Source organism: Homo sapiens, chromosome 14 (genome assembly GCF_000001405.40).
Source record: "Homo sapiens chromosome 14, GRCh38.p14 Primary Assembly".
Taxonomy (NCBI): Eukaryota; Metazoa; Chordata; class Mammalia; order Primates; family Hominidae; genus Homo; species Homo sapiens.
Window position 1 is genome coordinate 56,595,148 of NC_000014.9, and position 26,181 is coordinate 56,621,328.

A 26,181-nucleotide genomic window follows, 5' to 3' on the forward strand; every position below is an offset into this window, starting at 1 on the left:
TAAAAGTGCTTCTCAGTAATCTCTCTTAGCAAGTGTAAGACTAGATATGCCTTCAGATATATTTGTAGTTATGATTTTTGTAGCATCGCAACCTCATTTGAATTTCTGCACAGGTAAAAAAGCCTTCTGCACGTTCAACTTTTTTTTTCTAGCTCCAATATGTAGTGTCTTATTGATATGGAGGGTTCATTGTTGTTTGGCTCAATAAAATATAAAATGGGAAATTTGATGTGTTTTGTTTGAAATTTCACAAAAGTTTGAGAAAATTAAGGAACCTTCTTTACAAATCAATGTGTGAAAGGCAATATGAGTAACTGTGAACCTATATTTTATTTTATTTTCTTTTTTGGAGTCAAGGATATCACTCTGTCACCCAGGCCAGAGTACAGTGATGCTATCATAGCTCACTGCAGCCTCAACCTCCTGGGCTCAAGCCATCCTCCTGCTTCAGCCTCCCACAGACCTGGGACTACAGGCATGTGCACCACGCCCAGCTAATTTTTATTTATTTTTATTTTTTAGTAGAGATGAAATCTCACTATGTTGCCCAGGCTAGTTATGAACCCCCAAGCACAAGCGATCCTCTGCCTCAGCCTTGCAAAGTGCTGGGATTACAGGGATGAGCCACCATGCCCAGTCTATATTTTATTATTCTCTTTGAAATATTTATTTTATAGACAAGGAATAAAGTAATATGAAAATAAAAGTTTTTAAAAATAAATTATTACTTCTATACCCTTGCCAAAAGAATATTTAAACACTTGAATTAAGGTACAGAATGATAAAATAATATCCCTTAGTTTCTGGAAGATCTATCCATACAAACATCATTTTATTTAAGAAAAAAAATCAATGTAACAAGTTTAAAATGAATTCTTTAATTTTTCCCTTAATAGCATTTGTTACCAAGACACCATTTATATAGTAGTAAAAGACAGCAATAATAAAGGACATGGCTCTTAAACAAAATTTACCCCAAGACCAAAACATCTTTTGTCTTAATTTTTTGCAGTTTAAAAAAATATTTCTTTCCAAATAATGGTGTAAGTAATTTTATCAAGCATTATTTGAAAATGTTTGGACCTACATTGAGGTCATTAGAAACCATTTCTACTTGGAGGGCATTAAAAACTATAAATAAAGTATGTCTTAAATAATATATATATGGGAAACAATTAGTTTTTCAAAAAATCAAATAGTTTTTCTAGGGACACACACACATATATATGTGAGAGTGTGTGTGTGTGTGTGTGTGTGTGTATATATATATATATATATACATACACACACATATACATATATATAGAGAGATATATTTTTAATTAAAAAATATATCAGGCCGGGCATGGTGGCTCACGCCTGTAATCCCAGCACTTTGGGAAGCCGAGGCGGGTGGATCACCTGAGGTCAGGAGTTCAAGACTAGCCTCAACATGGAGAAACCCCGTCTCTACTAAAAATACAAAATTAGCCAGGCGTGGTGGTGCATGCCTGTAATCCCAGCCACTTGGGAGGCTGAGGCAGGAGAATTGCCTGAACCTGAGAGGCGGAGGTTGTGGTGAGCCGAGATCGTGCCATTGCACTCCAGCCTGGGCAATGAACAAAACTCTGTCTCTGTCTCAAAAAAAAAAAAAAATTAAAAAAAAAAATATATATATATACACACACACACCAATATGCTGATAGGTTATCCAATATTATCAATAGTCCAAAAATAATTTTTTGACTTTGTAATACATTATATAGAAGATTTTAAGTTCTTAAAATCTGGTTTCTTCATAGTGTTTTGATTAGGTTACAGTTAAAAATTTATATTCCTCTGGGTCTTTTTTTAATAAATATAGAAAGATCTATTTCATACCTATTTATTGCGTTTAATTGGATGAGAACCTAGAGAAGGGGCAAGTATCCTAGTCTTAGAGAAAATATTTCAGGGAATACTTGCAAAAGACGATGCTTATACTGAGTTGTAAACAGTTACGTGGGAGTTAGCAAAGTGAAGGCAAAACAGTGTTCCACATACAGGTTAAACATCCCTAATCAAAAAATCCGAAATCTAGAATGTTCCAAAATCTGAAACTTTTTGAATACTGACATGATGCCCAAAGGAAGTGCTCATTGGAGCATATTGGATTTCAGATTTTCTAATTAGAAATGTTCAACTGATATGTGTTCTTCAAATATTCCAAAATCTGAAAAAATCCAAAATTTGAAACACTTCTGGTCCCAGGCATTTCAGATAAGGGATCCTCAACCTGTAATAGAGAACCTCATTTGCAAAGAAACCCCGAAGTGGAGAAACAGCTTTTAAGTATAGGGACTTGCAAGTCATTTAGTGTTGATGAAACATAAAGTTTGATGTGTTACGTTAAAAGACCAGATCATGAAAGGTTTTTTATGTCATGATGAGGGGCTTATATTATGTTTTATCATTAAAGGAGAGGTCATTAAAGGGTTGGAGTCAGAAATGTGAGGTCAGATGTTTTGAATCTCTTACTCTGTTGGCAATGGCGGGCATAGGACTGGGGGCAGATGGCTTACCATGTTGTTGGATTGGTTTGAGTCTGAGGTGATGATAATAGCTAAAATGGGATGGTGGTGGTATGGATGGAGGGAAGATTAGCTTTAAAAATTATTATGAAATGAAATTGGCAGGATGTGTTATTTTCAACAGAGAGAGAGAGAGGGAAAAGAAGCTTTGATGATCACTACCAGGTCTCTTAATTAACTAGGTAGATAATGAAAGTCACTAAGATAGAGAATACAGGAGTAGGAAATCATTTTTAGAAAAGAGAATGAGAAATTAATTTTGTACATGTTGACATTGAGGTTCTATGGGGCATCCAGAGTTGTACTGGCATTGGGGTGTACCATAGTTGGTTGGAGATATTTAAGTCCAACAGTACAGGAGAGTGCAGTGCTGGGAACAGATCTGTTTTTTTCAGTTTGTGGTTAGCAGTTGAAATCAAGATGGTGGATAAAGTGACTCTAGCCACCTAGAGTGTGTAGAGTGAGAAAAGCAATTGTCTGAGAATGAAATCTGGGGAAATAACCAGCTTTAAAGAAATTAATGGAAAAAGAGGAGACATTCAGAAAAAAAACACAGAAGGAAGATCAAGAGCCAAAAAAGGAAAACCAGGGGGATATGCGGTCCCAGACATCAACTCGGTAAAGTGTGTCAAGGGGAGTGGTCATCAACAGGGATCAACACAGCAGAGAGGTCCAGAAAGCCTGTTGCCACTGGAGACCTCAGCAAGAGCAATTTCACTAGAAGGCTGCAATGAGAAGAGAGGTAGATGCTGCAGATGTGGACTTGTGAGGCTGATACTGAGCCTAGCCCTCACCCTGAAATGTGTCTTCATGAAATCATCCCTAATGCCAACCTGCTTTGTAGTCATTTATCTTTGTCTCACTAAGGTGAAATGAAGCATGCTCAGATAATGCATAGGAAATATGACTTGAGCAATATAATGAGACTATCTTCTTACAGAATCAATGAATTAACTGAAGACTTTCAAAGTCTTCAGAAAATCATCATCCTTATCACTACTAGCATCATCCTTTGATGTGTCAGCACAAATCACAGACATAACTTGCTGTGTCCTGATGGGGTCACGGCTCCTTAGTAGCATGCATGTGAAGCCATGGCACTGGGCCACAGACCTGTATTTCTACATTGCACTCAGCCTGCAGACTTACTAGTGCACATGTACCAACTACTGGCAGACTTTCAGGACAAATACTTAGTTTTATTGAAAATCTTAGGATTTTGAGAAAAGCTTTTTAAAACTCTGTTCCATCATTGGCTGCTTTCAACAGTAGAGTCTAATCTTGCTTAACTGGCCTGTTCCATCCACTAACAATTTGATGTTCCCTTCCCCAACCCACTTTTCACTCCCTGGTATGACTTTAGCTTTCATTTCATTCATTTCATTAATGGCTCACACTGTCTGCGGTGTAATTGGCACCCACAACCCTTTGCTCATCCTTCTTACCTCCTCCATTAGCTCCCTACTGGCTTTACTTCCTTTTCTATTCAGTCTAGGCCCCATGATTCATTACTTTAACTCCCACTCTTGTCCTTCTGTCCTTTTGCCCTCCTGTCCCTCTGACCTAGTAAAGCCTCAAAGGATGGCTCCATCCAGCTTCTCCAGGATAAAATAATATTTTATTTTATTATTATAATAAAGCCTGGTTCAGGCTACTGCAGACCTATCCACAGCCATGTGTACTGACGCTCCTGCTCCATCTCCACAGTCTCTGTAGTCTTCAAACTCAGCTGAGCATTAATTGCTACCTACAAAGCCTTGTGTGTATCCTTCTTGAGCTGTGGAATTTTTCCATAACAGATGTTTCAAGTTATCTCAACTTCTTCATCCACTAGTTTGTATATGTTACATGGCAAGTAACTGTTGATTGATTCTGAGTCTTAGCATAAGGTAAACTTTAAAAAAAATTTGTATTAGCAGAGGAGTCTTCTTATACATGTAGCTCTGATAAACTGGCTCATGATCTTCATGATCTTCAGTATGTTTTCGTTGCTGCATAACTGGATAAGGTGTGAAGGGAAAACAAAAACAAACAACCTCCTGATTTGGAAGACTTAGCTGAACCTATCTTTGGAAACAGAATCAATTAAACATGTATGTGTTACTTGGACTAAATCCAACATAAGCCCATACAAAATGGTAGTTCAAGCATCTCAAGTTTTTTAGAGAATGTTAGAATCTATTGTTTAAACTGTCTGTCATCCTCTTTGCAAAAATCCAAAGTCATTTGGGTCTTAAAAATTATTTGAATAATTTTTCTTCCAAAATGAAAAGAGATGATGATTAGTCAGATACAGTAGACAATTTGGTCAACATTTAAATAAGCAGTAAATAGCCCACATATTAACTGTCATAAACTTTTAAAGGCAGTGTGTTGAAATATGTGCATTTTAAGGAGCATTCAGAGTTTGACTTATAAAAATCCTATTGAAATCAAAGAAATTCATACAGGCTTATCACATATAGATTATTGTACGAAAACATGAATACTGGGCCCTCCAAAACATTTCATATTCCGTATATCCTATGTATGGACGTACACATGACTTTCTGCTCTTAGAGGCGTACGTCCTCTCTTCTGTTTTGCGCAAGACTAGGAGAACAGGAGCATTTTATTTTCAGAATTTTTACACAGTTTTCCTTGAAAAAATAATGAGAAGTATAATAAAGAGGGAAGACAGTGTGTTTCAGTCAGGGTTCTTGGTTGCAAGCAGGTGACTCTAGCTGTGGTTAGCCGAAAAGAAACATAGTAAAATGAAGTCGGAAAGAACTCTACAATTCAATAATAAAAAAGCAAATAATCCAATTTAAGAAATGAGCAAAGGGTCTGAATAGACATTTCTTTAAGGGAGATACACAAATGGCCAATAAACACAGAAAAAGATGCTCAGCAGCATTAGCCATTAGGAAAATGCAAATCCAAACTTCAGTGAGATGCCACTTCACACTGACTAGGATGGCTAGAATTAAAAAGCTAAATAGTACGTGCTCACTAGGATGTGGAAAAATCAGACTCTCATACACTGCTGTTGGGAAACAAACATTGAAAGATCCACTACGCTTTTGTGTGCAGTACATTAGGACACCAAGGCAAATTCCTGTAGACTTAGTTTGATTTCCAGGCAAGTTCATCTGATGCTAAAAAGGTTGAGATTTTAGATTTGATTTCCATTACTGGTTTCATAATCAGTTACCTTGTCTTCTACTATTTTACTCAGTGGTTTCACAAATTATTTCTGTAATGCCAAGGAAAATCAGGTGAAACAGTACATGGATTGCAACATCATCTTGACCTTAGTGGGGAGATGGAGAGAGAAAATTCAGATTATAGACCTTGCTGCTATGGGATTAGTCTTCAGTAAAATACTCATGTACCTAACTTTGTGTAACAATCTAAGGTAACCAGATAAATGTTATCATCGAAGTCAAAAATTTTACTTTACATTCTTCAATTTTTAAAACCTTATGAAATATTTGAAAAGGCAGTTAATGGAGTTCATAATTCTAATATTTAATGTCAACAGTTCAAATGCTTTAAGATGCCTTTCTGAGTGTAAGAATATGTGTTAATCATTATAGATTAGTGAATGTTGAGTTTTCTTCCTGAGGATTCATTTATATCAGGATTTTATTCTGCTTAGCTTCAGGTAACACATTTCTGCAGGAATGTTATAGAAATGATGCTGTATTCTTTTCACTAGAATAGATTGGGAAGCATATGATGTTTGTCCTATTACTAATGCTGTTAATTTTGGTCCTGTGGTTAAGATTGTGTCTGACAGTTTTCACCACCGTAAAGTTACCATTTTTCCCTTGGTAATTCATCTATTTATAGGAGGTACCTTGAGAGACTATACATATTCTGTTACTCCAAAACTTTTACCCACTAGTTTTGGTATTCATTGATTATTATTAAGATGGCTGCCAAATGGTAATTTCTAATTCCATCATTTCTTCTACAATTATTAGTGACTTTCTATGGAAAGGCCAATGATGTCCTTCTCACCTATTTATTTATATCACTGGATTCATGGTTTCTTATGAATTAAGTGATTTACAAGCTGTTACTATAATTATTTTTGATGCTTAAATTATCCCAGATTTGCCCAGTGGGAGCCTCTTTAAGCTGGCTCCTGTGTCCTTCTGTCATGCCCCCATCATTCTTTGAGCACTTACTTACTTTCTGGCACAAGATGTTTCAGACTAATTTTGTGCTAGAGCTACCCTGGCTCTAGAATCAGCCATTTCTCCAAGGATGCTAATTTCGGTTTTAAATAGAGGAAGGAATATTGTATCTTATGCTGACTTTCCTGAATAATATTGATATATGAAACATAGAAGTTCCTTTATAAATGTTAGAAATACTTTAATTTGTTCTTTCATTCAGTAAGTTTCCTTTGTGTGTTTGGGGCTAGATACTTCCAATATAAATGAAATTTAACTCCAATTCACATTTCAAAAACAATGGTAAAGTAATTGTTACAGACAATTAAATACTATAGATGTACAGAATGGGCTAAAAACCTAGGAATTGAAGAAACATTTGAGAAAGAAGTAGGATTTAAATAAATAGAAAGGAGCAGGGAGGACTTTAGATTCAGGGGTACAGAATGAGCAAAGGTATAGTGCTAGGCATAGGCATGTCTTATTAGGAAATTTTGATGAGCCTGACTAATTGGTGGAGAGAATAATGTTGATCATTAGTGAATGAGTGGGATCCAGTTTATTGGAAGCCTGGATTCTAGGCTGACTGATTTAGAACTTATCCCTCAAGCAGCGGAGAGTCCTTAAGTTTTTGGGCTGGGTAGTCATAAAGGATATGTTTTAGGAAACTTGATGTGATGTTATATTGCAGAATAGATTGAAAAACAGAAGACAAATTAGGGAACTCTTAAAATAATTAAGTGTAAGGCAGTAAAAATACAAATAGGAATGAGTAGACAGGAAAGTAATTTGGAAGGAAGAAATAATAATGTGTTGAATCAGGATCGCTGGAAGAACGGGAAGCTGAAAGAAATGGGAAACTGCTGATTTTTTAAGAGAAAGAAAACAAATAAATTGCAAACAGAAAATCAAAGTAAAAACAGGTTTACTGATATTGAGATTTTTATTTAATCATTTAAAAATAATGATTGACTAAAGCCATAGAACTACCCTGTAACTTTTTATACAAAAGGATACAGTTGAAAATCAATGGTTTGGAGCTATAGAATATGATAATTGTTGGACGCAGTAATGCTTGCTGAATTTTCTAACACTATTAGAAATAGGCATTTCATAATAGCTTTCATTTTCATAGTTTTAGATTAATAAGGAAATAGAAAGTTGTTTTGGTTTGATATGCACTAGTAAATTCATCCACACTACCAGTCTCAAAACAAATCTCTGAACCGAGATCCAGATTCCTGATTGTTTTAAATGGTATGGGTTTTGTTGGCATTTGTGGGTGAGAAATTTGTTTCTGAGTGTAGCATCTGATTCTTCTGGTGTTATTGAAATTCACATTCCCATCTTCTTCTTTAGAAAAAAAATTAGTTTTAACTTCACCGTTGTCTAAAGAAAAAAAACCCTTGCAAAGTAAGAAATGCACTGTATAAGATATTGAAATCATCAGATATTGTGATCAAGACATTCTTTGCCATATGCTGAGAGATGAAAATAGAAGGTACCTAGGTCCAAACATTCTACCTGAAGTGAGAATGCATTTTTCTGAATAAATATTTTTTCATTTCATTAATTTTTACAATCAAACATTTAGGTCTTAACTAGGCCATCCTTCTTCATGGATGGAGCAAGAAAATGACACAGGTTTGTTCTCTCTGTAGCTACTGTGTCTTCAGGTTTTCTGAACTGGCGTGAATCCTAGCAGTTAACATCTGAGGACTGAACCTCATTCTAGCCATAGGTTAGTTTATTTGTTCATTAATAGGTTAACATATGAACTTCCTAATTAAAATCTGTTGAAGGAAATTATTATATGAGTTAATGTATTAACCATATAATGTGTTGGAGTAGTGCTGGGTGACTATCATAATTTCTGCTGGTACAGTTTACCAAAAGGAAAATAAAGTTAGTTCTTTTTGTTGGAAAAGAAGATTTCATGTTATCTGTGTTTGCAGGCTTTCTGGCTCATCTGCTGGAGGAATCCTTGCTGCGGGGGTGTTTTCATTTTCTCGTCTAACATGGCAGTGGTCCATTGCAGCAGAGGTTTTTAGCTTAAACAATCTCTTTGTGGGGCTGCTTATGGCTCTTACTGTACATTTTGAGGAAGCAGCAACTGCTAAGGAGAGATCAAAGGTAACCTATTTTGATCAAAGTGAAATCAGTTTTTGTTTTAATTTTTAGACAGATGTATTTCTTTTTAACTTTGGCTTAAATACCTTTTATCTATTCTGATTACAGTCGGGATAATCTAGCATGCTGAGAGAGAAAATGATCTCAGTCTTTTTTATTATGGATGGAACCAGGATAGCCCTTATAAAACATGGCGCTTTTCTTCCCTCAGAGTTCAAAAGTTTTTTGGAGAATTAGAGGATTATAAAATCCCCTGTGTGTCCGGTGGGAAAGATAGGCTTGTTGCTTAATTCACCATCATTTGTTTGTGTATATTATCAGAAGGTGCCAAGCTCTACACTGGCCCCCTTAAATTAGGATGCATTGACTCACTCCTTAATTGCCAAAAAAGGTCAAATTTGTAATCTACTAACTAAAAGAAGAGTATCAAATGTAAACCATGAAGTAGTTCAGAAGAGATTACAATGAATTTTAAGACAAACACTATCATCAAAATCACTTGACATGTGAAAGAACCCTATCTTCTAAGAACTTAGAGTCTATACATTGGGAAATGCCAAATCATCTTAGTATAGGCAGCTTTGTGTTGTTAAAGAGTGTAGAAACAAAAGAACATCATGGTTTATATGTGGTTTCCTGTGATGCTATTAGAGGGGGTTTTTGGCTTAAAAAATATCTGATTATGTTAAAAAAATTATTCAATACACTTTTTAAAGAGTGAGAAGGCACACTGTTCAGGTTCAGGTATAGGGACAACTGCAATGGGGTTTTGTAGTAGGGGAAAGAAATCAGGCTCAACTCCAAATACAAGGAAAAGTGGGAATTCATAGCCAAGGAGCAGTGTGGGAGTCAGTGTATGGAAAATTACTGAGAGGAAGCATCAGCGGTAAAGGGAGATTTGACTGAATTCTTGCTGAAAGCAAGCCAGGGTGATCAGACTTCACCTAGGGAATGGTAGTGGATGAAGAACTTGATCAGATATTGAGAATTAGTGTTCTGGCTAAACTGACTTGACAGGATTGATGCTAAAACTGGACAATGCAGAGATGAACATGGAAACTCAAAAGTCAGGACCTAATTGGGAAGAGTTCAGAGGAGCCTGACTTGAGTTTGGTCAACGAGAGAATCTTTGCCAGTTATGAAACTAACACATGTTGGAAAAACTCAAAACCAACACCCAGAGATAACCAGATTTCTAAATAAAAGAGGCTATATTTCATTTGTTTAATAGGAGAAAAAACAATTGCTGAATTTCAATTATAGATTTTACTTGAATAAGCATTACACAATACCCTATTACTATTACAACTTATCTATTTATCATACAGGATTTTCTAAAAGTTGGTTTGAAAACAGTTATTTAAGATCAAATTGCAATTATTTGATGAACTTGGAAAATATTAACAAAAATAATAGTAACAAATATGAATGATTATTAAAATAACTGCTTGCATCTTAGAGGTTGATTTTAACCTAACATGATACGAATGCTTGGTTTTAATATAAAAATGGCTTTTTATTATGTTCTTAGAGTTTTAGGTGAATTTTTTACTTAATTTTTTTTTTTAATTTATTTTCAGGTAGCTAAAATTGGTGCTTTCTGCTGTGGCCTTAGTTTATGTAACCAGCACACAATAATACTCTATGTTTTGTGCATAATACCTTGGATTCTCTTTCAACTTTTAAAAAAGAAGGTACGTTTTTGAATTTTGTAAAAAAAAGTACAATATTTTACTTAGGTCTAATATAACATTTTTGTCATGAGAAAATTTCAGGCTTTAATTTTTCTTGGGTTTCATGTAAAGCATAAATAACCCTAGGGCCTAACAATATTGACTGAAAAAAATAGGATTTACAAAAATTATGCAGTATTGATTGCAGTGGCATCTGGCCTGTTCCATAATTTTATGACTGATTCTGAATAGCATCTTGATGAAAGTAGGCTGAAAGGACTTAAAGCAACAATATCAAATTTTCTTAATTATCGTTTTATACATTCTAAAACACAGAGTGGTGTGCCATCATACTTCATTTATTTAACTGTGTGCCGAGTCCTTGCCCTGTGCCATATGCTTACTCCAGGTGCTGAAGAGTCAGCTCTCAACAAAACAGACATCGCTTCTATTGTGAACTAAATAATAAAATCTCTGGTAACAGTATTGTTTTCTCAAAACGGATTCCCTAGAATTAAAAATGATTTATTGTTATTTCTTCTTTCTCTGAAAGAAAAAAATGATTGTTAATTAAAATGGCAATATAAAGCAACAGGAAAATTACTTCATTAGGCAATGTGAGATTTAGGTACCCAGAGGTTAAAATAGTCTATATACAAAGCCAGCACTAGAGTCGTTTTACCTTATTGTTTGTTTGTGTACAAACTCAGCTTTACTTATCCTTTTATTATTTGTTCATTATACCCAGCTATAATCAGAATTATAATAGAAAACATATAAAACAAAATTATTATCTAGAAATAGGGAAATAATTATACCAAAGCTTTAGATAACTATATTTACTGTACTTGAACACATTTTGCTTCTTAGCTTCTTAACAGTAAAGCAAAAAGGGTAACACAGAGGTTATAAAATTTTTACAATGTGACTAAAAAGTAAGTAAAAAGGGCTGGGTGTAGTGGTTCACGCCTGTAATCCTAGCACTTTGGGTGGCCAAGGCAGGCGGATTGCCTGAGCTCAGGAGTTCGAGACCAGCCTGGGCAACACGGTGAAAGTCTGTCTCTACTAAAAATACAAAAAAAAGTAGCTGGGCTTGGCAGTGTGCGCCTGTAGTCCCAGCTACTCAGGAGGCTGGGGCAGGAGAATCGCTTGAACCCGAGAGGAGGAGGTTGCAGTGAGCCGATATCGCGCCACTGCGCTCCAGCCTGGGTGACAGAGAAAGACTCCGTCTCCAAAAAAATAAATAAATAAATAAATAATAAGTAAAAGGGAAACATAGCAGTTGACAGGAAAGAACTTTTCCTTGGCACTGAATTTTGTGAAGTCAATCACGTAAGTCCTTATGTAAATCTTATTAAACAGCATAACAGGCAGTGTCTTTAACAGTGGTTTTATAGTGTATATAGCAAGTTCTTTATATGGCCTTTTATTATATAAACCTTGATTAAAAATGGAGATACGAAATATAACTCAGTGAAGCTTTTCTATGGAATACGAGAAAGAGGCCCAGATATTTCTCTTGTGAATCAGTGGGGGTGGATGGATACATCTCCCTCTCGTATTGGTCATCTTAGCCAGACTTCCGACCTGAACAGACATCAGAGGGGTGCATTCTTAGCACATATTTCATGTTAATTGATTGAAAGGAGAGGCATATACTTTCTGTAAAACATGGAGGATTCAGAGTTGATAATTTCAGAGCCTGGACTAAGGGCCTGTTTTCCCTGTACTGAGGTAAGCTACCAGAGAGTGATGAAATTGTGAAAACTGTGACTCTTTATTTCCCATTAGTTAAAAAGCAGAGGCTAGAAAATAAGGCCTACCAATGAAGTAACAGGGTAGTTGGATCTCACTGGGAGATGACTGGAGACAGAGCAGAAAGTCCTGAGTCAGTTGGTTTCAACCCTGGCTGCTTACTTATCTGAGAAGCTTTTAAAAAGTCCGTGTTTGTTTGTGTGTATATATACACAGATGTACATGTGTATATAGTAATGTAGGTACATATGTATATATCTGTATGTACATATATACATAGGGACGTGTGTGTGTGTATATATATATGTATTTATTTATGCTACAAATTGATTCTACCCCAAAATAATTCTGATATAAGTGATCTGGGGTGAGGCCCAGACATCAGTATTTTTAAGAAGCTCCCCAGGTGATTTTAATGTGCAGTTAGGATTAGGAGCCACTTATTCCCCAACTCTGCAATAGCTCTCATGCAATTGTCTCCCTGTTTATTTCTCACACAAAAGGAAAATTCTGCAGCAACTCATCTTACCATTCTAAATTCAACTTTATAATATGCAGAAACTGTGCAAAAATAAGCATTTACTTTTTTAAAAACTAATTTTAAGAATAGCAAAGGCATGTTGTTAGATTAGTTATTTCTTATGCTCCTTTCATGCCATCATTTTTTATGCATCTCATTACTGCTATAGAAATCTCAAATGAAATCAGTACTGTAATAAAACACTTCATTTTCAATTAAGAATGTTTATTTGAAAATGCTAACATAAATCAACTGCTTGTTCTACTTCTAGTGAATGTGAACCTTGATTCTTATATTCATTCTCACATATGAATTTCTCTTTTTTGTAAAGGAAAAATTGGCAATTTCCAAATACGATATTTGTGAGAGACTACCTTTCCCAGTTACTAAAGTAAGCAGTATTTGAATCTTGGTTCAGATACACAGGAATTGATTGAATATATCAGAATTCATATTATTTTGGATTTAATATTTATAAAACTTTGTCGATATTGTCCTTTAAGAAAAGTATTTTACCAATGAGAAATATATTTTCCCAAATAAGGTGTATGAAGCAGCATTGTTATAACAACTAATTTTCTTTAATATTCTATCCTATATGTAAATTGAGGAGAAAAAAAGCATTTGGATGAGCTTGGAGTTTATATAAAAGCTAGTTTCATTTATGCCAAACATTTCTGTGAAATGTTCAAAACGCTTGTAGAAATAATTGTCAACATATAATCATAGTAATATATATAGTTGAAGTCTACTCCTAATGATGATGACAAAGTGAATTGGTCTTAGAATTGTATTTTGGGCATATTCAAAATCAGCCAAACAACACATAATCACTTCCAGGCAGGTTATCTTAGCTGTGCAATGCTGCTTGTCATGACATGGTTTTAAATGTAAGTGATGCAATAAACATGATACTCATGAGCCTTTGCTAATATTATTTGCTTCACTCAGCTTTCACCTGCCATGCAAAGGAGTTCAGGCTGATGCAATTTTCTAGTAATCCGTAGTAATCAGAAGGTTTAACATAGTATTCTGTGGTGACTTAATATAAATTGGGAGATCAGCTCTGAGTAAACATATTTGATGTTTTCCTTGATATGTTCTTGAAGTTCCGAGATGAATCTACTAAAATAAACATTGTTATACCACCCAATGTGCTCTGATGCAGGAACTCTCCCTGGGCTCTTTGTTGAAGTTGAGCCTGTACTTCTCTGCTGGTTTGCTGCCCTATGTCCACCTTCCCATCTCATCTTACCTTAATCACGCCCGGTGGACCTGGGGAGACCAGACAACACTGCAAGGATTTTTGACACATTTTCTCAGGGAAGAATATGGAACCTTCAGCCTGGTAAATTCAGATTTAAAGCCCTTCTAAGGAAACAAGTGGCAAAACTTCAGTGCTCTGCCTGGGCCTTGATTAAAAAAACAATATTTGTCAATGACAGTAGATCAAATGTTTGTTTTGGTTATTTATGTAACAAACTTGCCCCTTGGAATATGGCCTTTGATATATGTAAGAGAAAAGTCAGAATCACTTAATTTAACATCATGTAGTTGTATATCCTGAATATACTTTTTAGGATAGCAGTCATTAAAGTCTTCCACCTACAGTCGAAACATTTCAGTCTTGTTAGCAGTGAGTCACTATGGGTACTTGATCTGTGAATAAAACTATTTGGAAAAGATCGAAGGAAAAAAAATCCTCAATTTAAAAAATTTTCCTTGACCAAACCACTTCTTATTATTATTTATTTATTTTTTACATATTTCATGAACAGTTTTTATGTTAATGTCTAGTTTTTGAAACTCAAGACATATCTGTAAATGCCTCATGAGTTCACTAAATGGAAACAGTGTGCTCCAAAGAAGTTCAAAAGGCCTTGCTTTTCCTAAGACATATTAGGGGAACACATTAAATATAGTCACAGTAAAGATTATCTGAAAAATGAAAGGATGAGCAGAAGATTTTTTATTTTCATATAGACAGTTATATCAGGTTTTTCTTTCTTGGTTTGTACTTTTGTGTCCTACTTAAGAAGGCAAGTCTCAGAAGAGTATGTAGTATATAATACCACTTATACAAAACTCTAAACCATGAGAAACTAAACAATCTATTGTTCAAGGGTACATACAAAAGTAGTAGAACTATATATTTATAAAAAATAGGGAAATAATTAACACCAAATTCAAGGTAGTAGTTACTACTGTGGGATAAGGAAGAAAAAGTCTTTGAGGGCTTTGGGAGATACCTTATGATATTGATGAGGTTTTGTTTCTTTTTAAAAAAAAGAATTTTTTTTTTTATTTTGCTTTGTTTGTTTGAGATGGATTCTCGCTCTGTCACCCAGGTTGGAGTGCAGTGGCGCGATCTCAGCTCGCTGCAAGCTCCGCCTCCCGGGTTCACGCCATTCTGCTGCCTCAGCCTCCCCAGCAGCTGGGACTACAGACGCCCACCACCACACCTGGCTAATTTTTTTTGTATTTTTAGTAGAGACGGGGTTTCACCATGTTAGCCAGGATGGTCTCGATCTCCTGACCTCGTGATCCACCCTCCTCGGCCTCCCAAAGTGCGGGGATTACAGGCGTGAGCCACCGCGCCCGGCCAGTGAGGTTTTGTTTCTTAAATGAATGTTGGATCTGTAGATTTTTAAAAAGCTCTTTGACCCTTAAAGATGTATTATATATGTTTTTTATATGTAGGAGATGTTTCATAATAAAAAAGTATTAATTATTTTGACTTAGAGAGTTTGATACTTTACATTTATATTCTGCTTTAATTATTTTGGTTATTCCAGAAAAATATTGTCTGAAGACCATTCTAGATTTCAAATTTATATAATTCATACATAATTGTGAAATTTTAGATGAACAAGTTATAATGAATTTTAATCAAAGTGCTCATAAAGAGCTTAAGGAAAGTCTATAATGGAAGTATAAAAAGGTTATTAATTTATTAACATGTAAATCATTTTTGCTGGAATAGTTTAACTGATTTCTAGCCAAATATTCTTTTCTTTCTTTCTTTCTTTCTTTTTTTTTTTTTTTTTGAGACAGAGTCTCACTCTATCACCCAGGCTGGAGTGCAGTGGCGTGATCTCGGCTCACTGCAACCTCCACCTCCTGGGTTCAAGTGATTCTCCTGCCTCAGCCTCCTGAGTAGCTGGGATTACAGACATGCACCACCATGCCCGGCTAATTTTTTGTGTTTTTAGTAGAGACAGGGTTTCACCATGTTGGCCAGGCTGGTCTTGAACTCCTGACCTTGTGATCCGCCCACCTCGGCCTCCCAAAGTGCTGGGATTACAGGTGTGAGCCACCGCACCCAGCCTGCCAATTATTACTTCTAAAATTCTTCCTAAAGGGTGGCCAAATTAGTTTTCACTGACTTCTGTTTAAAAATTCAATAAGACTCTGAACTAAAGACTTTGAGTGAAGAGAAATGATACATTGTACATTTAAAACCTGTGTCTTTTAGACATACAGCCAAAAAGCATATGAAAAAGTGCTCAGTATCACTAATCATTAGAGAAATGAAAATTGGAACCACAATGAAATACCATCTCACACAAGTCAGAATGGCTATTATATGAAAAAGTCAAAAAACATGCTGGTGAGGTTTTGGAGAAAAGAGAATGCTTATACACTGCTGGTGGGAGTGTAAATTAGTTCAGCCATTGTGGAAAGCAATGTGGCGATTTCTGAAAGAACTTGAAACAGAATTACCATTCAACCCAGCAATCCCATTATTGGCTGTATACCCAAAGGGATATAAATTGTTCTGCTCTAAAGATACATACACACGTATGTTCATCACAACACTATTCACAATAGAAAAGACATAGAATCAACCTAAATGCCCATCAATGGTAGACTGGATTTTTTTTAATGTGATACATATACACCATGGAATACTACACAGCCATAAAAAAGAATGAGTTAATGTCCTAAGCGAACTAATGCAGGAGCAGAAAACCAAATACCACATGTTCTCATTTATAAGTGGGAGCTAAACATTGAGTACACATGGACACATATGTACTTAAGGGCAGAGGGTAGGAGGAGGGAATGGATTAAAAAAACTACCTATTGGGTACTATGCTTATTACCTGGGTGATGAAATAGTCTGTACACCAAACTCCCTTGACACGCAGTTTACCTGTGTAACAAACCTGTAGAGGTACCCCGAAACCTAAAATTAAAAAATTGTTTTAAGAAAACCCGAATCTTTTAAGATTATTAAAATACAATAGCCTAATAAAGCGTCAGTTTAATGCTTGTGCAGATAAACTTTTGTCTTTTGTGTTTAGGCCAAATCTGAAATAGGATCCAGTATGTCTGAAATACTGCTGTGAGTATGAAATATTTGAAACTACTTTAAAATGAATTCTCTATTAGTTCCTTTAAGTGATTTTAGGGATTTCTGAGTTCATCTCTTTGTAACAAAGTATGTCTGAGAAGTAGTTGTTACCTCTACAGTTAACAGTTGTTTGTGTTTACAGTTGTCCCTCAGTATCCATGGGGTATTGGTTACAGGAACTCCTAAGGATATAAAAATCCATGGGTGCTCAAGTCCTGATATAAAATGGCATAATATTTGTATATAACCTATTTACATCCTCTTGTATACTTTTAATCATCTCTAGATAATTTATACCTAGTATAATGTAAATGCTATGTAAATAGTTGTTATGCTGTATTGTCTAGGGAATTATGACAAGAAAAAACATCTGTATATGTTTGTACAGACAGTTTTTTCCCCAACTTTTTTTTTTTTTTTTTGATTTAAGGTTAATTGAATCCATGGAGGCAGAACCCATGGATACAGAGGGCCGACTGTACTGTCAAATATTTTTAGCACCTCCTTCACTAAGATAGAGCTTAAAATGAGCAATAAACACAACGGTGAATATTAGAATACTATATAGAGCATTTATAGAACTAAAATGTTTCAACCTTCAATTGAACAACTATTTTCTTGTTATTTTGGATTTTAGTATTTCAGAGTTTAATTTATGTAATGTCTCCTATGACTTCTTTAGGCTATCCTTGCCGTAAGCTCTATCTTTGGCTTACATATTTTTAACATCCAACCTTATTAGAGCTGGCTTAAGCAAATATATTTTCATGTATATTATTTAATAGTGTTCTTTGAAAACTGGGTTAATATTTGCTTTAAAACCTACAGATTAAGACAAGTGGAAAGATATCCATACCAACTTGATACAAAATTTTGGAAGAAAATAGGTTTCTACAACACTAAAGTGATGTCCTAACTAATTACTAATTTGGAACTCTTGGGGCTGTTTGAAAAAAAACTATGAGGAGAATATTTCAACTTTATATGTGAGGCAGTTTATGAGTTCTCACAGTTTCGGTGTAATTTACTTAATAGCTTGCTTTCTTCCAGCCATCCTTCCTTGCTTTCTTTTTAAACAACTTCTTTTTTCTACTTCAAAAAAGGTACATAAGCTTTATAGAAAACTTAGAAAATACAGGTAAGCAAAAATAAGAAAATTAAAACTACCTATAAATCCAACATGCAGAGATAACCACTGTTATTAATCTGTTAATGACTATATTTTTCTAATATTTTTAAGATTTTTATTTCTTTTTAAAAGTAGGATCATAGTAAACATACTGTTTTATTAGCCTGCTGTTTTTCACTTTACATTATATCTTGGAAATACCTCCTTGCCATCAGTTACTTTCACGTAACCTTTTGATGGTTCTCACCATTGATTGTAAATATTTCTTTTTATGTGTGAGACTTTTGTGGCTTTCTCATTTTCGCTGGGGGAATGTAACAAGAAGCTCAGTTTTCTTTTCAAAAATAAAAATGGCACTGAGTGCGGTGGCTAATGCCTGTAATCCCAGCACTTTGGGAAGCCAAAGTGGGAGGATCGCTTGAGCCCAGGAGTTTGAGACCAGCCTGGGCAACATAGTGAGACCCGTCTCTGCAAAAAAAAAAAAAAATTTTTTTTTTGAGATGGCGTCTTGCCCTGTCACCCAGGCTGGAGTGCAGTGGTGAGATCTCTGCTCACTGCAACCTCCGCCTCCGCCTCCCGGGTTCAAGTGATCCTTCCACCTCAGCCTCCTGAGTAGCTGGGATTACAGGTGTGTGCTACCACGCCCAGCTGATTTTTGTATTTTTAGTAGAGACAGGGTCTCACCATGTTGGCCAGGCTGGTCTCAAACTCTTGACCTCAGGTGATCCACCTGCCTCGGCCTCCCAAAGTGCTGGGATTACCAGAGTGAGCTAACACAACCGGCCTACAAAACATTAAAAAAAAAAAAAAAAAAGGCATGGTGGCATGCACCTGTAGTTGCAGCTACTCAGGAGGCTGAGGTGAGAGGATCGCTTGAGCCCAGGAGGTCGAGGCTGCAGTGAGCCACCTTCATGCCACTCCAGCCTAGGCAACAGAGTGAGACTCTGTCTCAAAAAATAAAAAAATAAAGATAAAGACAGTCAAATGTCATATCAATGTCTCTGAGCTTTCATTTTATTCTGCTTTGCTCCATGCAGAAGGACTCACTGCCTGCTCTTTTCTATCTACCTTCCAGAGATTGTTACAGCATTAAGGATAACTGGTATATTTTGTCTTAGCAAACCCTACATGAACTCCAAAGAACTCTTGAGAGTAATCCTAGACCATATGTCTAACTTTTATTAGTTGCACATAAAAGTCATCTATTGGGACCCTTAAAGGCCTCCTTTACATTAAAATAATAGCAGGCTGTATACCCAGAAAAAAGACTTGACAAAAGTGATGACCACTCACACCCACACTTCTGTGTTCTGTGTGGACCAAGTCATCATGTAGAATGAAGGCATAATCTTAGCACTCCCTGAATGAGAATGTCTAGTCTTTAATAGTTTCAGGTGGGCAGGAACATTGAAAAAGGCAACTCATAATTAACTTATGAGAAAATCCTTCAAAATGATAGAAGCTAATCATCTACCCTTTTCCAGTCAAGCAAATTAAATTTTTTCCCCATGCATATCTCTAAATTGCAATCCTGTACAAGGAAATTATTGAATCTAACCTTAGGCAGTGACCATCTTTTAGCGCTTACACTTAAGCAATAGATCTCCAAGAATAATTTTGAGACTGACTTCATTCCTTTTGAAGAATGGTTTGAAATGGGCCTCATGCTGGAATCAATTTTTTCAAGTGTATTTGAAAATGAGTAAGGATATCTTCTCATAGTAGATGAGTCTTCATTAGTAAAATACACATTGTATGGTTTCTATAATTATGGTATCACATTTTCTCCAGTAAAATTGCCGGTAGGGAGAAGAAAGTTCTTTGAGATGATGTATAGAGTCATTTCTTTTTTAACAATTGGAGACAGCTAGAGCAGAAGCTATTTTAGAACTCAAATTTTAACACCTGAAAATGCATATGAGTTAATGGAAGAATTTAGTTTATTTGTAGGAAAAAAACATAATACATTTCTCTGAGATTGCTTAAATGTTTTTTGAACCAAAACAAATAATATAGAAAACAAGGAAACCAATTAAGGAAAAAAATAACCCACAAAAGAATGGCTGGGAATTATCTCTCATGGCCTTTATTTTCTTCATATTAGATCTCCAGAAATCTATTTGAATTAATTTTGTTATCATTTGCTAAATCACTGGAGGCCATGTCTACACTGCCAAGAGAAAAAAGTTCAAAAACTCATTTCAAACAGCTTCCTACCAAACCAGTCGGGGATATTCTATACAGTATACCAATATAAAAAATACAGAAGAATTATTTGTTCTGATCCTATTCCAAATTATATAAGTTGATAACCAAATGTTACCATTGGAAAACGTCTTGGAACTATTTAAGTCTTTCTATTGCACTTTTTCTTCCAACTTTAAAAGACAAAATTTTAAAATCTGACCCCAGCCCTTGTGATTGTTCAGTATATAATCAATGGTATCTTACAAGGACTATTTTATTTGGAATCAATCAAATTTGTTTCCTGCCAACAATAAGTTAGATTGTTTTTTGCAGTTCTCAAGTAACAAATATGAGGACCGAACTCTCATTCAACATCCAAGCCCTTGCAGTTTGTGCAAATATATGTTTAGCAACAAAGTAAGTAATACAATTCCTTTTTCTGTTATTTTTCTATGTTCATGAATTGAATTAATGTTTTCAGTATGTCGCTGTAGGACATTGCCAGTATTATTTTATACTCCAAATAAATGACTCTCCTAGCTGTCTATTAAGATAAACGTGTATTGCTTTCTTCTATTCTGATTCTAAATAAATCAATGATTTCAAGAAATTGAGCATTATATTACATCTAAGTAGACAGTCATTTGATGTCCTAAACTTCAGGTTTGATCCCTTAACTCTGCTATAACCGATTATTATTGCTGATTTTAAAAAGAAGCAATAATTTAAATTCCTCTGATGATAAAAGTGATCCGATGACAAAAGAAACCCTGAAAAATGTAGCACTGTAAATCTCCATTAATTTATTCATTTATGATCTAGTCTGTTGAATGCATTTGTATGTAAATGTATATTTGTACATTTATCTATAGTTTTGTTTACTTGACACAAACATTGTGAACATTTTCTCATACTATAAAAATACTTAAAATCATTTAAATGTCTATATAATAGAACATTCTATGACCACAGGAGAATTAATTTAACTGTTCTTCTATTGAGAGGTCTTTAGATTGCTTCCACTTTTTCCACTATTATAAGTAATAACAAAGCATTTTTATGGATTAATCTTTATTTACATTTCTGGTTATTGCTTAAAGATTTATGCCTGCATGATAAATAACTGAGTCAATGATTATTAATATTTTTAAGGCTTCCGATATAGATATTATCAAATTAAATTTTCTGAAGGATTATACTAACATATATTGTCATACCACTGCACACCAACATTGAGAGTTATCGTTCTTAAATCTTTATTATTTCAAGCATGAAAATGTTTCTATTTTGCCTGTATTTGATCACTTCTGAAATTTAACAAAATCAGTAGTTTGCATTTCTTCTGTGAATGTTAGCTTTATATCCTTTACTGCGTAGTCCCAAGTTGTAGTTCAAATTTATTATTATATTTTGGTTATTTGTTTCAACTCAGATTTTAAAAACCGAAATCTCTCTTTGCTCCTAGTTAAAAATGGAAAGTTTTTATAGATCTAATAGTTTAAAGTCCTGTGATATTATATTTGACATTCATGTATCTAAATATTTTAGACATATTTTTATTATTTTTTGTAGGGACAGACAGAATCCATCATTAGTATGGCTTTTTACTGGAATGTTTTGCATTTATTCATTGTTCTTTGCTTGGAGAGCAAATTTAGATATTTCAAAACCACTTTTCATGGGTGTGGTAAGTTTTACTTAGATATATCCTTTGACCAGAAAGTTTGTGAAGAATGTGCAAATTTGCATTTCATAAATCTTGTAGAAGGGCAAATTACTTGAGGAATAGTTAAAATTTTATATACATTTTTATAAATCAAAGTTGAATTATTGAGTCAATACAGCTAAGGCCTCTTTTTAGGATAAAAAGAATGCAGTGTTTAACACAGTTGTTAAATAGAAAAGTAAATGTAAAGTAGATTTAAGTCATTGTATGTGTGTGTGCTTGCAAATATAGGTACAACTGCATTTCTCCTGGAATTTTTTTAACAGCAAAAGAAATATGAATTGTAATTGAGGGCACTTAACAACATATTTCCTTATTTCTTACCTCCCCAGTCCCAGGCCTAGGCAAAAGAGCAACCGTATTTCTGTTTTCTTTGGCAGCAGTCTCTGAGATTAGAGTATTTCTTCTACTTACAATAGATTCTCTGTAAATGTCAATAGCACTTTTTTGACAGCTGAAACAAAGTCTGCGTATGTGTGTGTTCAGGAAGCCTAATAAATAATACCCTACTTGATCACCTGAGTTCTGAATCAATTGAGAAACAAGGTAATACAGTACAACGGGTGGGAGAATCACTTTTATTACTGATAATACTGAGATTGGAAAATGCAGCTTATATCTGTAGCCAAGGGGGCTTCCTCTTCCAGCATCCCAGAATAGACAGATTTACCCACTAGTCATAGGCAGTGCTGTGCAGGTCAGGCCTCTTCCCTGTCTCCCCCACCCCACTGGTGCCACAGAGATAGACTCTAGCCCTGGACAAGTGCTTCCTGTGGGTAGCTCACTTCCAGGAGAAAGTGAGATGAAAAGGGAGGGCGCTGCAGGCCCAGTCCCAGCTCCCAAACTCCCCAGTCAGATCAGTCCCTACATCCTATAGGAGGAAATACGTGAGGGGTCAGAGACAGGCCAGGACAGTGGAGCTTCTCCATGTGGAAGGAAACATCAGGAGTAAAGCAAAAGCATTTCTCTAACTCCTTCAGCCTGTATATTACTGGAGTTCAAGACTAAGGCCACAGTATTGAAATGAATGTGTGGATCTGAAAAGGGAGATGCACCTGTCAAACTGGGAAGGAAGAATGTTTGAAAATAGAAAAATAAAATGACCTGGGCTTGGATTGGGGAAATCAGTTAACAAAACCTGAATGACAACAGGCACACACAACTAGGTGCATGCAGCATATTTAAAAAATATATGAGGAGCTGATTGATAGCATTAAATAGTCAACTGGACCCACTGGTTGCATGTCTCTTTCACAGGTGGAACGATTCTGGATGCAGAGCAATGCAGTAGTGGCCGTCCTCGCTGGCATTGGTTTGGCTGCAGTTGTGTCTGAGACTAACCGAGTGCTGAATAGCAATGGGCTTCAGTGTCTGGAATGGCTTTCTGCAACTCTTTTTGTAGTTTACCAAATATATTCTAATTACAGGTAATACATGGTTATTTTTATGAAAAGTAGCTGTCAAGCCAGAGATACCTGAATATTTAGATTCTAACACTTTATTTCATTGTTAACTTCTGGTTTTCAAGACTCAAAGTGAGACAGCTTGGTTGAATGCAGTAGTTCTTTAACTTTTAGGGTCGTTAAACCTAAAAGTTAAAGCATGGGCGATGAATGGTTTCAGGCCATTGCAAACAAGGGTTTAGGTGGTGCGTGTAGACAATTTGTATCTTTTTCTCTTAAGAACCCAAGAGATACTTTTAGAATCCCTAGTATAGGTAAAATTCCATGACCTAAAATACCACTTAGATGGAGAGTAAAATGATTTAGAGTTTTTTGTATACCCTAAAATAATTCACTTTATGCTTCCCTTTATGTCCAGTTTACTCTGTAGTAGTAAATACTAATTTTTTTGAGACAAGGTCTTATTCTGTCCCCTAGGCTGGAGTACAGTGGCATGATCGTAGCTTACTACAGCCGTGAAATTCTGGGCTCAAGCAGTCCTCTGCCTCAGCCTCCTCAGTAGCTAGGACTATGGACACATGCCACCATTAGCATGCCTTTTTTCTTTTTTTTTTGTAGAGACAAGGTCTCACTATGTTGCCTAGGCTGGTCCTGAACTCCTGGTCTCAAGCAAGCCTCCCTCTTCAGCCTCCCAAAGTGCTGGAATTAACAGGTGTGAACCACTATACCAGCCTTAATTATTTTTAAATTAAGTTCTAAAGTTTCTTAACTCATATATTATTAGTATTACATGTATTTTTCAAAAAATCTGTTTAATAACCATTACAATAAAAATCTCAGTCTGACATAAAAGACGTCTAAGTCTTAGACTATAGTTCGTTTATTTCCAGCAATATCAAGTACACATTATGGAAATGGAAGAGAGTCCCTTGGAATTTTGCTATAGTGAGATTGGACTGGTATTATTTTAAAGGATTACATTTTCTCTTTTAACTTAACTTTAAAAACCAATGTTCTTACCATTCAACCCTGCAATCTTATTACTGGGTATATACCTAAAGGAATATAAATCATTCTAACATAAAGACACATGCATGCGAATGTTTATTACAGCGCTATTCACAATAACAAAGACATGGAATCAACCTAAATGCCCATCAGTGGCAGATTGGAAAAAGAAAATGTGGTCCATATACACCATGGAACACTAGGCAGCCATAAAAAGAATGAGATCATGTCCTTTTTAGGAACATGGATGGAACTGGTGGCCATTATTCTTAGCAAATTAACAGAGGAACAGAAAACCTAATACTGCATCTTCTCACTTATAAGTGGGAGCTAAACGATGAGAACTCATGGATACAGTGAGGGAGAACAACAGACACTGGGGCCTACTTGAGAGTGGAGGCTGGGAGGAGGGAGAGGATCAGAAAAAAATAACTATTGTGTGCCAGGCTTAATACCTGGGTGACGAAATAATCTGTGCAACAAACCCTGTGACGTGAATTTACCTTTATAACAACAAACCCACACGTGTACCCTGAACATAAAATAAAAGTTAAAAAAACCCACAACATTGTTCTTTATAATACTGGGGTAGAGCTGGTGTTAGGAAGGCCACCAGGAGGCCTTGAGAGAAGGGGCTGCGTGTCCTGGACACAACATCATCGCTAGCTCAAGAAGGTGCACCAAGCCCACAGTGTGTTTCCCAACCTTTTCTTATCCCAGTCATCTCCTGGCTCAGGCCATTAGGGCAGTCCAGGTTCGACACCAGACATATTTGCACAGGCTAGGTGTTTTTATCTTGTTTTGATTTTTTTTATTTGTCCCAGGGGAATGGAATACATAGCACTTTTGCTAGGTGGCAAAATGTGCCTCATCACTCTGCAACATAGGGAATCAGGTAGGAAACAGTAATTTTTACATCAATTACAAAGGCAGGGATAATATTCTGTTCCTAGAGGTGTTCATTTGTTTTGTGATACCCCAGATATTCTCAGCTCCATCAAATGTAATGGACTTGGTAATAACAGAAAGGACATTGCTTGTCTCATTTTTTGATACTAATTACTGTTTTGTCATCTTTTTCTTTTTTCATAGAATGCTGTCAGAATTCATGCCAGTTTTTCTTTGAAGTTAGAAAGTTAACTTCATTCTTGAAAAGAATGAAGTTATTGGCAATAGCAAATAATGCCTGGAGAGAAGTAAACAACTCAGGAAACTCGTCCTCCCCTTGCTTCTCATTGGTCTCATTCCCTAGCAATTTCTTGATCTCCAAAGGCAGAGAGGGACACAGGAGGCCTGTGATTCAGGGGAGAAGTGGAAAGGATCAACCTCTGCATGCAAGAAAATCATACAAATGCCATACAAATTCAAGTCAGAAATGGGCAGATTTCCTTTTGCATTTCTGAAAGTTCCTTTGAGTAAATGGAATGAACATAAAATTGCCTTAAACTCCAAGTGGAATCAGAAATCTTACTTTCTAAAAATAAAATTGGATTGCACTTAGGGGGAAAAAAGGACCTATTCTTGTGTACTGATTCCCTTTTTCTGGAAATGATTATAAACTCCAGAAGTAAGCAGTAGACT

General features: G+C 35.6%; 1 protein-coding gene across 12 annotated transcripts in view; it reads left to right on the forward strand.

Moving 5' to 3' along the window:
* TMEM260 (transmembrane protein 260) overlaps positions 1-26,181 on the forward strand; it is an 83,641-nt gene that overhangs the window by 15,623 nt on the left and 41,837 nt on the right. For 7 of the 12 annotated variants that reach the window (XR_007064017.1, XR_007064018.1, XM_047431494.1 and 4 more), the window contains 7 exons: positions 8,668-8,845; positions 10,423-10,536; positions 13,959-14,138; positions 17,098-17,138; positions 20,797-20,880; positions 22,036-22,150; positions 23,447-23,616. Coding sequence is in view for 9 of the 12 variants with exons in the window: in XM_011536851.3 (XP_011535153.1) it covers positions 8,668-8,845; positions 10,423-10,536; positions 13,959-14,138; positions 17,098-17,138; positions 20,797-20,880; positions 22,036-22,150; positions 23,447-23,616 (882 nt within the window). In the remaining 3 variants the exon portion in view is untranslated. Of the gene's footprint in view, positions 1-8,667; positions 8,846-10,422; positions 10,537-13,958; positions 14,139-17,097; positions 17,139-20,796; positions 20,881-22,035; positions 22,151-23,446; positions 23,617-24,210; positions 24,305-25,424; positions 25,496-26,181 lie in introns of those variants that run through there. The other 5 variants (XM_047431496.1, XM_011536852.2, XR_007064019.1 and 2 more) reach the window with 4 other exon arrangements.